General features: G+C 48.1%; 1 long non-coding RNA gene across 1 annotated transcript in view, besides 2 other annotated features; it reads right to left on the bottom strand.

Moving 5' to 3' along the window:
- Positions 1-12667, bottom strand: part of PKP4-AS1 (PKP4 antisense RNA 1) — a 76666-nt gene that overhangs the window by 55270 nt on the left and 8729 nt on the right. The gene's annotated exons all lie outside the window — the stretch shown is intronic.
- Positions 9803-10308: an enhancer, noted in NCBI's record as "H3K4me1 hESC enhancer chr2:159579921-159580426 (GRCh37/hg19 assembly coordinates)". NCBI's record gives its function as "activates a minimal SCP1, AML or CMV promoter by ChIP-STARR-seq in naive H9 embryonic stem cells {active_cell/tissue: H9 hESC(naive)}" and the evidence as "EXISTENCE:reporter gene assay evidence [ECO:0000049][PMID:30033119]".
- Positions 11145-11644: an enhancer, noted in NCBI's record as "H3K4me1 hESC enhancer chr2:159581263-159581762 (GRCh37/hg19 assembly coordinates)". NCBI's record gives its function as "activates a minimal SCP1, AML or CMV promoter by ChIP-STARR-seq in primed H9 embryonic stem cells {active_cell/tissue: H9 hESC(primed)}" and the evidence as "EXISTENCE:reporter gene assay evidence [ECO:0000049][PMID:30033119]".

Below are 12667 nucleotides of genomic sequence, written 5' to 3' on the forward strand. Positions count from 1 at the left end.
TTGGTATTTGCTCAGCTTCAGAAGTCTGTAATTGTATATCTCTTGCTTAGCTTGGAAACTTGCCAGTGATTGTTTCTTCAAATATTTTAAAATTCCTTTCCTCTTTCTCTTCTTCTGAGACTCCAATGATGCAAATGTTAGATCTTTTGCTATGGTCCCAACAGCATCTAAAGCTCTATTTGTTTGTTTGGGGTTTTTCTTTCCAGTTTGTTTTCTCTCTGTTGCTCAGAATGGATAATTTCTATTTTTCTATCTTCCAGTTCTCCAATCCTTTCCTCTGTCCCCTCCATTCTCTTGTTGAGTCCATCAATTAGGTTTTAAAATTTTGCTGATTGTGTTTTTTATTTCTCACATTTTATTTGGTTCTGCTTTATATTATCAATTTCATTGTTGAGAGTTTTTTTTCACTGACGCTTTCTATTTTTCTATTTGTTTCTATCGTGTTCATAATTGCTTGTTGAAGCTTTTTTACCACAGCTGCATTAAAAACCTTCATCAAATGATTCTATCATCTGTCATTTCAGTGTTGCCATCTATCAATTGTCTTTTTAAGTATGATGACAATTGAAGAGAAACCTGGACATCTTCATATTATTTTCTGGTTTAGCTGGCTTTCTTTGACAATGCAGGGGAAGAGGGAACTTGCTGCCTCATTATTGACACATGGAGGTAGAATACCAGTTTCTCCACTCAGGCTCCATTGACATAGGGGAGGGGAGTGTGCGTTGCTGTTGCTGGTGGGTGGGAGTTCTGGCTTCCAATGTGGTCTCCACTGACGCCATTGTGGAAGTGGCCTCATTATTGCTGGGCAATTGTAGAAGTCCTGACTCTCCACTAGGTCTCCTCTAACACCACCCCAGCCGAGGATGGAGGTGCATGTCATACTCTCAGGTGGGGAGGGAAGTCCAAGCTCCCTTTGTGGTTTCCACAGACATGGTGGGGAGAGGTGTGCATCATGACTGGCCAGCAGGGACAAAAGTTGGCTCTCTGCTTGGCCTTCTCTAATCCCACTCTTTGGGGGCGTTAGGGCTCCGCATCATGGCGTAATGAGGACAGACATCTGGGCTCCCCACTTGGCTTTCACTTATGAGGGTGGAAGTGGGCCAAAGTTTTTCCATGGTGTCTGGCTGCAGTAGAGCTGTCATTGTCTGGAAGGGTTCTGTCTTGCTAGGCTGCCCCTTTCCTGGTACTTTGGCTAGAGAGAGCTAGCTTTTATGGGCACTTTTTTGCCTGTGCTTGTTGCTGTTTCCAGGTTTCTGGCTTCTTCAATTGCAAGTCTGGGACGTATGAGGCAAAAAGAAAACCCAGAGAACTCATCACTGTGTCATTCCTTGGGTCCCAAGGTCCTAACCACCTGCCTTCTTCCCTCTACCTTTCAGAGTCTTTATGTGTTTGTTTTATATATAATATTAATGGCTTTAAGTTGTAGGAAGAATAGGGGAAAGTATGTTTATTCCATCTTCCCAAAAGTACAAGTCCAAGAGAATGGTTTTTAGCAGTGGATTTTTTTTTCTAATGAGGCTCATTTCAAGAACAGCATGATGTTGTTTAGTCAAAATCAATAAAGACTATAGATATTTTGTATAGCCAAAGGCATAAGAATGAACATCAGCACTTACCACCCTGTTCTGAGACACACGAATAGTTGTTCCATGAGAAAAATACTTCTCCGTGATCAAAAACATCTGGGAAAGGTTGCATTTTATGCCCCCTCACTTCGGAATTCTTGATGAAGTTAGCATATTAAATACTCTGAGAAGATCTGAATGTAGTGAATTTTTTCAATCCAGTGTTTCCCAAATTCAGCTAAGCAGGAAACATGCTTTCCCAGCGTACTTACAATATCCTATACTATACTCCTGTCCACTTTGGAAATAGTGTCCACTGAGCCATATAATCTGGGGAGTTATCTCAGGACCCACCCTTCACAAGGGAGGGGACTGGCATCTTACTGGGTGTGCTGTGCCCCCAGGTCCACAAAATGATCAAAGGTCATTCTGTCTTGACAAAACATGCAGAGGAGAGTGGTGGGGAGAACATAGTAATCCTTTTCATTTTCCAACTCCAATAACCTCTGTGCCTTTATTGTTTTCTTTAAGTCTACACCAACCTCTACCAGGTAAGAGGGAAAAGTATTACTATCTCCATGTTGCAGGTGACAGAGGCTCAGAGAAATAAAAGTATATTTGTTGAAGAGCCAGATCTAGAACTGCAGGCTTTGGGCTACAGGGCCCTCCATAATTATTGAGCCCCTGTGATTCTAGCCTGGAGCCCGACCCTGCCAGAAGCAGGTGCAGTCTGACCTCCTGTGCCTGCCCTCCAGGACCCTGGGCCCTGAATCCTAGCTTGGCCTCCCTAGCAAAAAATAATAATAATAATAAATAACCCCAAGGGGCTTCCAGAACATGGCTCCCTGCTCACTGTCCCATACAGGGCTCTTCCAGGATGGCCTTCTTGCTTTCCAGAAACCTTTGTTCCATGGAAAACAAGTGCTGTTTTCCAGAACAAAGCCTCCAGGGAAGTGAGGGGAAGCTAGAATCCTAAATACAGGATGAGGCTCAGAATTGCTCCCTGGCCCTCACTTCCTCTGCAGCCATCACAGCCCACTGTGTGACTTGAGAGAGGAAGTGGCTGGGACTTCAGAAAGTGGATTTACTGGGAAGAAATGATTCCAGTAAACATAACCTCCAAGCGGCATGCCCCCGCCTCCCCCTCAGAACTACACAATAGTGACTTGTCTGCCGTGTCGCCTTCAGGGAATGGGGAAAAGGAAATGACCACTCTTATTTTGAGGAAGGTTCAGCATGAGGGCAAGGTCATTGAATAAAATGAGCCAAGGGATGATGCTGTAAAAACAAAACATTCATCCCAGAAAAGAGCTCCTGTCTGAAGGATTACATTTCTCTGCCTCCATGGTTATAGCACAGCCTCCCTTTTCTCCGCAAATGGCCACAGAGGAGGGCAATTCTTTGGAAAGGGAAGAACTGAGAGAACAAGGGATTTTATGGTTGACATCACTGGTCTGACTGGCCTTGCCAGAAAATGGAATTTATTTTGGCCCTGCAATTAGTTCTTCCTTCCCACTTAACAATTCTTCTTGCTGCTAAAGACATTAACTGAAGCATTAAATTCTTAAAATATTTCCCCCACTAGCCAAGCCTGGCTGCTGCAATGGCAATAGGAGTCTTTTGCTTTAAGTCATTGAAGGCCACTGTTAAAATCTAGCTACAACCTGCAGGAGGGAAAATAGCATCCATTGTTCACTCTTTAGCTGGGATTAGTTTTTCCAGCTTGACCAGATAGGCTTAAAGAATCCGACATAAGACTGATTCCTGGACATAAGACTGATTTGACTGGGAGAGAGGTCAGGAGAACATGGAGCATGTCCGAAACAGCTGGCCCAAGAGGGGTCCCCAAAAGTTACTGTGATCAGGCTGGGGCCAGCACGAGAGCCCCGGGCACTTGGGCAAGCCCAGGAGACACAGTGAGAGGGAAGGAGGGGTGTGAAAGGCAGGTGAAGGAGCGCCAGCCTCAGACCATAGTTCCACCCCCACCGCGCGCTAGCACCGCCACTGTCCTCTAGGCAGCTCTGAGAGGAAGGAACAAGGAGAGTCCAGAGAGCCAGGTTCTGTCATTACCACCTAGCTATAGAGCCTGGGGCAATCGCTTCACCTTCAAGACCACTTCCTCCTTGGGCTAGATCTGCTCCAAGGCCACTTTCAGCTCTAACATGCCATGTTTAAAAAATATATATTTTAAGGTATTTTTTTCTTCCTTCCACCACCCCAGATTTGCATATTTATCACATGATCACCTCAATCAATGACAGAAGTGCATGAAGTAAAAAGTGAAACACCCGCCCAGCCCCGCAGCCTCACCTCACCCAGGTTGTTGACCCCAGGGCTTCATTTCCAGACAACTGGAGCGGAGGGGAGTGTTTAAGATCCCGGGCTCCAGACGCAAAAGGCCCAGTTCAAACCCATGCTGTGCTCCTTCCCACTGTGAGGCCTTAGACACAGCTCTCCCTGCCTGCCTGCTTCCTCATCTGTAAAACTAGGACAATAATAGTGGCTGTGTTTCTGTGAATTAACACACAGAACCACAACAATGCCCGGACACCATGTTCCCTACATGCTAGCTGTTTGTATTGCATCTGACTTTCACTCACAGTAAGGGAGCGATAACTATAACAGAGGTGAGTGCTACCTTTAAGGAGCTCACAGTTGAAAGTCACCCCCGCAAATGTCAAGACCCACTTTTTGTCTGTTCCATGCCCCTCTATGTGGAAGGAGGGAAGGAGATGTCGGTTAGAGTGGAGCGTAGCTCCCGGGACTGACCCATCACACAGGTCGCAGCATCATGTGGAATCACTTCAGCCAGACGAGCCATCAGAAGGAAGCTAGATAACCCATTTAAAAACAAACATCTTAAAAGGGCATTGCAGATAAAACAATAGAGGAAAAAAACTGAATTTCCTATTAATTATGATGTGTTTTTTAAAAAATACAATCCATGCGGAAATTCCCAATCAGGCATTGTCTGGTGTTGAATACTCTGCAGTAGAGAAATGCTGCTTGTCATGGGGAACACAAAATTCCTCCTGTCCTTATGCACCCTAGTTCCTGAGGATTATGTCCTGTCTTTTTCAGCCTGCACCCTAAAAATAGCTGGTGCTATTTCCAGGTTCCCCAGCAGAGTCTCCATCCAAATGTATCCTATCAGCTTCTCCAGCTCAAGATCACAACAGCTCACCCCTGGATTGATTTGGGAGCCCATGACCTCAGGCTTCCAGTCTCCCCCACTGGCCAGGTCCCAGTGAAGCTTTTGCCCCTACCCCCTGAGTGCCAGCTTCCCCTTCCTCTGACTCCTTAATGCTTTATGCCTGTTACAGAGGGGCATCAGGGGCTGGCAGAAACCAGGGGCTGATTGGAATCAGGTCCTGCCCTAACCTCCATGGTTCTCAGTATTCTTGCCTATAAAATGTGCCAATAATAGCGTCTGCTTCATAGCCTTACAGCAAAGACTAAGTGGGATGATAATGTAGATAAAATGCCTGTCATCATGTCCAGCACATAGATAATGTTCAAGAAAAATTGTCCCCATTGTCACTTCCCATTAGAATGGCATGTTTGTTGGGGCTGTCTGCCTCCACAGACTGTGAGCTCCTCAAGGGCCAGAACTATGCATTATCCACCTCTGTATCTCTGATTCTCTGTGGCTCCAAACTCTAGAACAGCAGTAGTATACAGTAGGTACCCAGGGGATCAGTTATTTATTGCCACAATAATGCTGCACAGCAAACCAAACTTAAAACCACAATTCATTTAGCCCATGATTCAGCAATCAGGCTGTTTAAGCCAAGCTCTGCCTGGGGGGTTCTTCTGGTCTCCACTGGGCCCAGCCACAGGCCATGTAGGCACTGCTTCTACTTATGGAGGTGGTGGGGAGAGATGGACCACGTGTCCGTCATCAACCAGCAGCAAGGCCTGGCAGAGTTCTTACAGGGAGAAGAGCAAAAGGCCGCGGGGCTTTTTGAAACTGGCACATTGTTACTTTCACTACATTCTATTGGCCAAAGCAAGTCACAAGGCCCGCTCAGATTTAAGGGATGGAAAAATAGACTCTGTCTCTTGATGGGAAGAGTGGTGAAGCCACGTTTAAAGGGCATGGATTCAGAGAGGGGTGGGAATTGTCACCCCTTTCTGAATTTTTGTGATCTACCACACCCAGTTTTTCATATGAAAGAGGTAAGTTAGAGAAAAATGAACGAAAAGAGCAATGAGAAGAAAAACCCAATTTATGTCCTCACAATCATGGGCAAGGACACTTAAATTCTAGGTTGCTCAATACAAGCAAGATGAAAATTGACCTCTCAAACCATTATGTAGTTGAGAGTTCTCTAAGGTACAGTAAAGAGAATATGTGCCAATCAGGGCATAAATCAAGACACTCCTTTCCTGGTGTCTTGGGAAGGCAGATGGGCCTGGATTTATCGAGGACACTCAGCCTCCTGACAGCAGTATAATTACAGACACCAGCGTCATTAATCAGCAATCCGCCAGTGACCGAGGAGTCTATAAACCTCCAACTCTCTCGGTTCCAAAATTGATTTGACTTAAAAACAATTATTTAAATTCCACATGCTTGAGCATTTGGCTTAGGAGAATGTAGGAAAAATATCAAAAAGAAAAGTTTGTGTTTTTTATTCATCTCCACCTTCAGAACATTGAAAGTTTTTATTAGCCCATCAGTAATTGGATGAACCTTCTGTTTCACACACACACCACCCACCTTCTATCAGAGAGACTCTCACCAAAGATCCTCCAGCTGTGATGTCTGAAAACTCAATTCAGTGATGAGCTAAGGGACCCACTCACCTAAAAAGGTGCTGAAAGGCACAGGCATGGAGTTAGGTGACTTCCATGGAGCCAGCTCCCTAGAGAGACTAGTCAGTTTCTGCCTATGTGTAACCATCCTTTCCAAAGGTTCTCCATCCTTCTGGACCCCCCTTTTCTTCAATACCAAATAAAATGGTATTGGTATTGAGAAAAGTCCCCATTCCTGGTGCAGGAGGTCTAGCATCCCTGAATGTATCCATGCATTTGTAGCAGTAAGAGCTCACATTCTTCTGGTCGGTCCTTGCCTAGAGTCTGCTTCCTCGCTGGACCACAATTCCTGCAATGCCCCCGTCTCCCCTTTCTTGGGATGTTCTGCTATGGCACAAAATCTCTTTTCTGCAAGGGTCTTTGTACACAAGCTACACATAACAGATTTTACTGAAGGTTTGGTGGCCAAAAGAGGGTCATTACAGCATAGACTACAAGGTAAATTCATGATCAGGCAGACATCACTTCTAGTTTTAGGCTGCCTCTGCTTCCCAGGGAGGCTTCCTCTCTGGTCCCGTCTTCCATATGTTCCAGCCTTAGGCCATGCCACTGGGCCCCATGACCCCCTCAGAGCTGCCTCTAGACGACTCTGTCATCTCCTGCTGGTCTGATCTTCTAGCTTCTCAACTCATCTACATCCTGGACACCAAAAACCTTCAACATTTCTTCATTTCCAAGAGCAATTTAGCCTTCCTTTGTTTCATCTTTACTCATCCAGCTCAGGCCCAGAACCTGATCTCTCAGCAGTAGCAGGGCTCCTGTCATTTTTCCCAAACAATAGGGCCACTCAACCTCTGGGAACAATTATCTTCCTCCCAGACCAATGAAAAAAATCGCACTCGACTTTTAAAGTAACAGATGTTTTCTCTCATCTTTCCACACTGTCTACCACGTGATTTGAAAGCTTAGAGAGACCTGCCTCACCCCCCATGCCTGACACCCCTGCCAAGAAGGTCATCTCTTCAGGTTAAGGGATTATATCCAGAAGATGCACATAACCACACATTTCATTTGGGAAGAGTAACCCACCAGGTCTCAAACTACAAGTTCTCAAACTTTAGCGCATATACCAATCTTCTGGTGCACATGTTAAAAATACAGCTTCCCTGGCCCTAACCTGACACAGCAGACAGTAGAACCTAGGAATCTGCATTTTTAAAAGTCTTTCATCTCCACCCTCCCCCAAGTGCTTCTGATGCAGGGGATCAGCTGCTCACACCTGGAGCAATTCTGTGCTTCTGCTTGATTTATAGCATGGAATGCAGGAAGGCCGAGGGTCCAATCAACATCTCAAGGTTTCCTAGGGCTGCTGTAACAAATTGCCACAAACTTAGTGGCTTACAGCAACAGAAATGTGCAGCATTGTTCATAATGACCAAAAAGTGGAAGCAACCCGAATGTCCATCCACAAATAAGTGTATAAACAAAATGGATGTTACACACAGTGAAATATTATTCAGCCTGAAAAAGGAAGAAAACTCTGACACATGCTGTGACATGGATGACCCTTGAAGACATGATGCTACATGAAATAAGCCAGACACGGAAGAACAAATACTATACGGTTCCATGTATATGAGATACCTAGAGGAGTCAAATCCATAGAGATGGAAAGTAGAATAGTGGTTACCAGGGTCCAGTGAGGAGGGGAGGATGGATGATTTATTTTCATGAATATAGAGTTTAAGTTTGGGATAATGAAAAAAGTCTGGAGATGGATAGTGTTGATGGGTGCACAACAACGTAAATGCACCAATGCCACCAAACTGTATATTTTAAGAGGGTGAGAATGGTAAATTTTATGTGATATGTATTTTTACACAATTTTTTAAAGCTAAAAGATAAACAGTCCCAGCCCCAGAAATGTACTCTCTCATCGTTCTGGAGGTTGGAAGTTGAAAATCAGTATCACTGGGCTGCAGTCAAGGCATTGGCAGCCCCACACTCTCTCCAGAGGCTCTAGCAGACAATCTTTCTTTGCCTCTTCCAGCGTCTGGTGCATCCTTGGCTTCTGGCCACAAAACTCCAGTTTCTGTCTCCATCTTCACATCACCTTCTCCTCTTCTCTCTGGTTGGGGAATCTCCCTCTGACTCCTTCCTGTAAGGGCACTTAGGATGGCATAATCTTCCCATCTCTAGGTGTTCAAGTCCATCGCATCTGCCAAGTTCTTTTTCGCCATATAAGGTAACATTCATGGGTTCCAAGGATTAGGATGGGATATGTTTGGGGGATCATTATTCGGCCTACCATACTCTCCGTCAGAGTTGCCAGGAAATGGGGGCCACAGTGGAGAGAGGCGAATAAGAGGCAGTAGAGAGCTGGGATTTGGGCCTCAGGGGCAGCAGGTCCAGGGGAAGGATAGGCATCCCAGGCAGGGGAAGGCCCCACTCTGTAGGTCCTGGGTGTCGGGGGTGTTCTCCCAACCCAGCAGGAGCCCAGCTCAAGATGAAGCCACCTGTCAGGGAAGGGAGTAGCTGGGGGTGCAGTGGTTGTGTCAAGGTCACTGCCCAGCCTCACAGACATGATGGGTACCCAAGCACACACAGTGTCACATGCTCTGAGGCAGAAAGGGAAGCAGGAAGTGACTCCAACCCCCCTCATGCCTGGCTTGGGCCTCGATGAGAGCACTCCAGGTCTGAAGAGGACAAAGAGTCAAGTTAACTCCTACAGTGTGCCTAGCAGAGCAGGCACTCTTCATACTTCATCTTAGCTAACCCCCACCCCAGCCCCAGAAGGGGGTCATATTAGCCCCTCTTCACATGTAAGGTACCTGCAGCTCAGAGAGGTGAAGCAGTGGGCTCACAGTTACACAGTGCGTCCATCTTCTGAGTCCTGCAAGTCCTGTCTTGGTGAAGAGCTCCCATGCGAGTTGGACAGAGCTGGGATCACATCCTGGCCCTGCACTTACTGGCCATGCGACCCTGGACACCGCCTTGCTATACTGGCTGCGTCTATCTCGTGGGTTAATTTTTGTAAGATAAGCACAGTGCTGAGCACAGCATTTGGCATGAAAACACTCAGATAACTCATATTAATATCCCCAGCCCTGCCTGCCCAGGTGTGGAGAGCAGGGCCTGCCCCAGCACAGCTCCTCCCTCCCTTGCATGGTGAGGAGTGCCCAAGCAGGGATGCTGGCTGCTTTGCCACTATTGTCTGCAGCTGGTTGTGCTGGCCTGGTTAGAAAGGGGTTTCTAGGCAGAGGAGCCCCTGGGTTTGTAACAGCTGGACTCTCCTAGCCCCTGCCCTTGTGCCTCCCAGCAAGTCCACTATGAACCCTTGGCAAAGCAGAGGGCAGGGAAGCCTCAGGATAATTCCCCATTTGTCCTCCACCCCCACAGCCAACTTGAGTCTCGATGGGCTTCAAGGACTGTGTTGTTCCGCTGCTCGGAGCCTCTCACAGGCCCAGCCTCACAGCCAGTGCCAGCTGCAGTCGCGGGGCTGGCAGCCAGACTGGGGAAAGCAAGGGGCGGCCCCGTCCCTGCCCCCAGCCTTCTAGGGGGTTCTGCCTGGACAAGAAACCCTTTCAGAGTCATGAATCCAGTTGTGGGACAGGCCTGTGATTGTGCATGTTGTTTTAAAGAGCTTTAACAAACACAACTGGCCCAACAATGGCCTGACTAACATTGACTCTGGAGGTCACCAAGCCCAGGGCGCCCACAGGGAAAGCATTGTGGCCCTGCCCCAGTGGCCCCAGGCACTCCAGGGCTGGCAGGATCTCCCATAACCCACAGTCTAGGTGCACCTCACAGTCATCCAGAAAGGAGGGAATCTACCCTTGTATAAGTGCCATTGCATGCCAACCTCTGCCCTCCCATCACAGGTGAGGGGTTGATGCCCTATAAAAATGCACTATCACTCTGCCCAAGGCCTCAGTGAATTTGTCCCAAATGAACCTTCTCCCCTCAGTACCAAACCTACCGCCCTGACCTGCTATCTCTGGTTCCAGCTCTGAATCCTATCACTGGCTTCCGCTTCTCTCCCCAGCCCCTCAGAGAAGGCAGTGTGACAAGATCCAAGCTCCCCAAGGAGCTCTGGAAGCTCCCTGGTGACTCATAGCCAAGCACCTTTCTGTTTGTCACAGCCTTGCCCAAATGTAAACAGCCAGTGCAGGCTGGCCCCAGGGCTCACATCCGGCTCACGACAGTATGCCCTCTCTTCATCAAAATTTCACAAGTCTTGATGTTCATCTTCTAAAATGAAAAGTATTGCAGGCATAGAGACATGCCCCATGTGGACGGGGCCTGCTTATCTATGACATCAGTAACAAAACAAAACAAAAAGGCATCCCTGACAAGTGGGCAAACTTCCTTGGTTTTTACGAAAACTAACCAACTTTGCCACAGCCACTGAGGGAGCAGTTGCACTCTCCACCACCAACCTCAAGAGGGAGCTAGCCTCAGTCGCCACTCTAAACACCCTCTCACCCGCCAGCCTCCTCTGTCCTCGCTAGCTGCCCTCTGCCTCCACCCACAGCTTGTGCTCTTTTGTTTGAACAGAACCATCCGACATCTCCCATATGCCCACTGGCTCCAGCAGGGGCGGTGACTGCTAACAACAAGTCCCATTCCATTGATTCCCTCCCCTAAAGGTGTCTGCAAGGGAGAGCTCTCCTGGACGGACACACACAGGAAGAGAGGGCAGGTGGCTTTCCTCACAGTGAGAGCATGCTCGTGAGTTATGGAGATGCTGTCAGCTGCAATTGCACCAGGCAGTCTCCATGTGGGTCTCCCCTGTGGCTCTGATGCCTGGCAGGGAAGGGACCCTGGAGGGGGACTGCTGCTCAGGTGTCCAGACACCTGGCTGAGGGAGAGAGGGACCCACAGATCCTCTAGGACCGCAACAGCCCAGCCACCCTGGACGGGATCTGCAGCCGGCTGTCAGGGCATGCTCCTTGGAGCTTGGTTTGGCTTCTCTTTGCTGTTCTTGGAAGCTGTGTCTTTGGAAAGCAGAAGCTGGAGTTCCCCCAGCCCTTCAGGTGGCTGGTGTTTGCCTTCTCTCTCTGCCCTAGCAGCCACACCTCTCTGGAACACTCTGATGTGCGTTTATGGAATGCCCCAGTCACTAATCTTACAATTTGTTTAATGAAAAGGAAAAAAAAAAGTCACCCAATCACATATCTGTGGCATTAGTCACAAAACCCTTGACCTGAAGTGCCCAGACTACACCAGCTGCTCCATCCCACGAGGCAAATGGTACCCACCTCACCACTCCCTCCAATGGATGGGTCCCTGAGCACTGGCCTGGCAGACTTGAGACTCACTTGGTGCCCTGTTCTCCTGTCCAAGCCGTGGAGAACTCCAGAGGCAAGACTGCCTGGGTTCACTGTCCAGAGCTGATACTCCCTTGGCACGGGCTCTCAGACAAGTCATTAACCTCTCTGCGCCTCAGTTATCTCTAAAGGGCGGGGGGTAATTTTAGTGCCCACCTGATAAAGTCATAATGGGGATTAATAAGTTTCCTGAGTACCTGGAAAGTGCCAGCTGTTACTGCTGACAGTAATATTATGGCCGCCCATGGCCCGGTAGAGCTGCGGAGAAAGCCTATGCAAACAACCTCCCAGAGCAGAGATGATACTGCTTGCTCCGAGCCAGTTAACCCAAGGGCGAAATGTGATCCTTTAACAAATGCACAGCTTGCTTCCTGCTATAGCAGGCTGTTCCCAAAGACATCCACCCTTTCGCTGTCTCCATCAGGACTGAGAGTGGCATCCCTTTAACAGGGTAGAGTCCCTCTGGCTTTGAATGGCTGCCACTTATCAAATGCCTCTGCAGTCTGGCTAGGAGTGAGCCAGACAAAGAGCTGGGTGTGTGCAGTGCATAACCAATGCCTGGCCAGCGCTGGGCTCACTTGGCTATGTGTTGCACCTGATGACATCAGGGGTTGCCTTGCTCCCCAAGTGGTGACAACTCGGCTGTCATAGGGACAAATTATGAGGGGATTCCTGTCCCCTCCTGTGAAGAAGAGAATGGAGAAGCCAGGGAGAAGCTCTGCTCACTGGCTCTGTTCTTCTCTGCAACATGGGATCTGTACTGATCTTCAGCTGAAACCTAGTAGCTGATGGGCCACTGTCTCCCCCATCAACTGAGATCACCTCTCATTTCCTTATATCTGCAGGACTTTTCTTTATGTCTATGAAATTAAAGGCCTTGGGGTGTGGGGGTGCAGAAACATGCAGTGAACCCATCCCAGACTCATAGCACCCAAATCCCTGCAGGCGGAGCCCAGTCTTCTCCGCCTGAATCTGATGCACCTCTGTGCTTGAAGACCGTGGATTTACAGG

Source organism: Homo sapiens, chromosome 2 (genome assembly GCF_000001405.40).
Source record: "Homo sapiens chromosome 2, GRCh38.p14 Primary Assembly".
In the NCBI taxonomy this organism is placed as follows: Eukaryota; Metazoa; Chordata; class Mammalia; order Primates; family Hominidae; genus Homo; species Homo sapiens.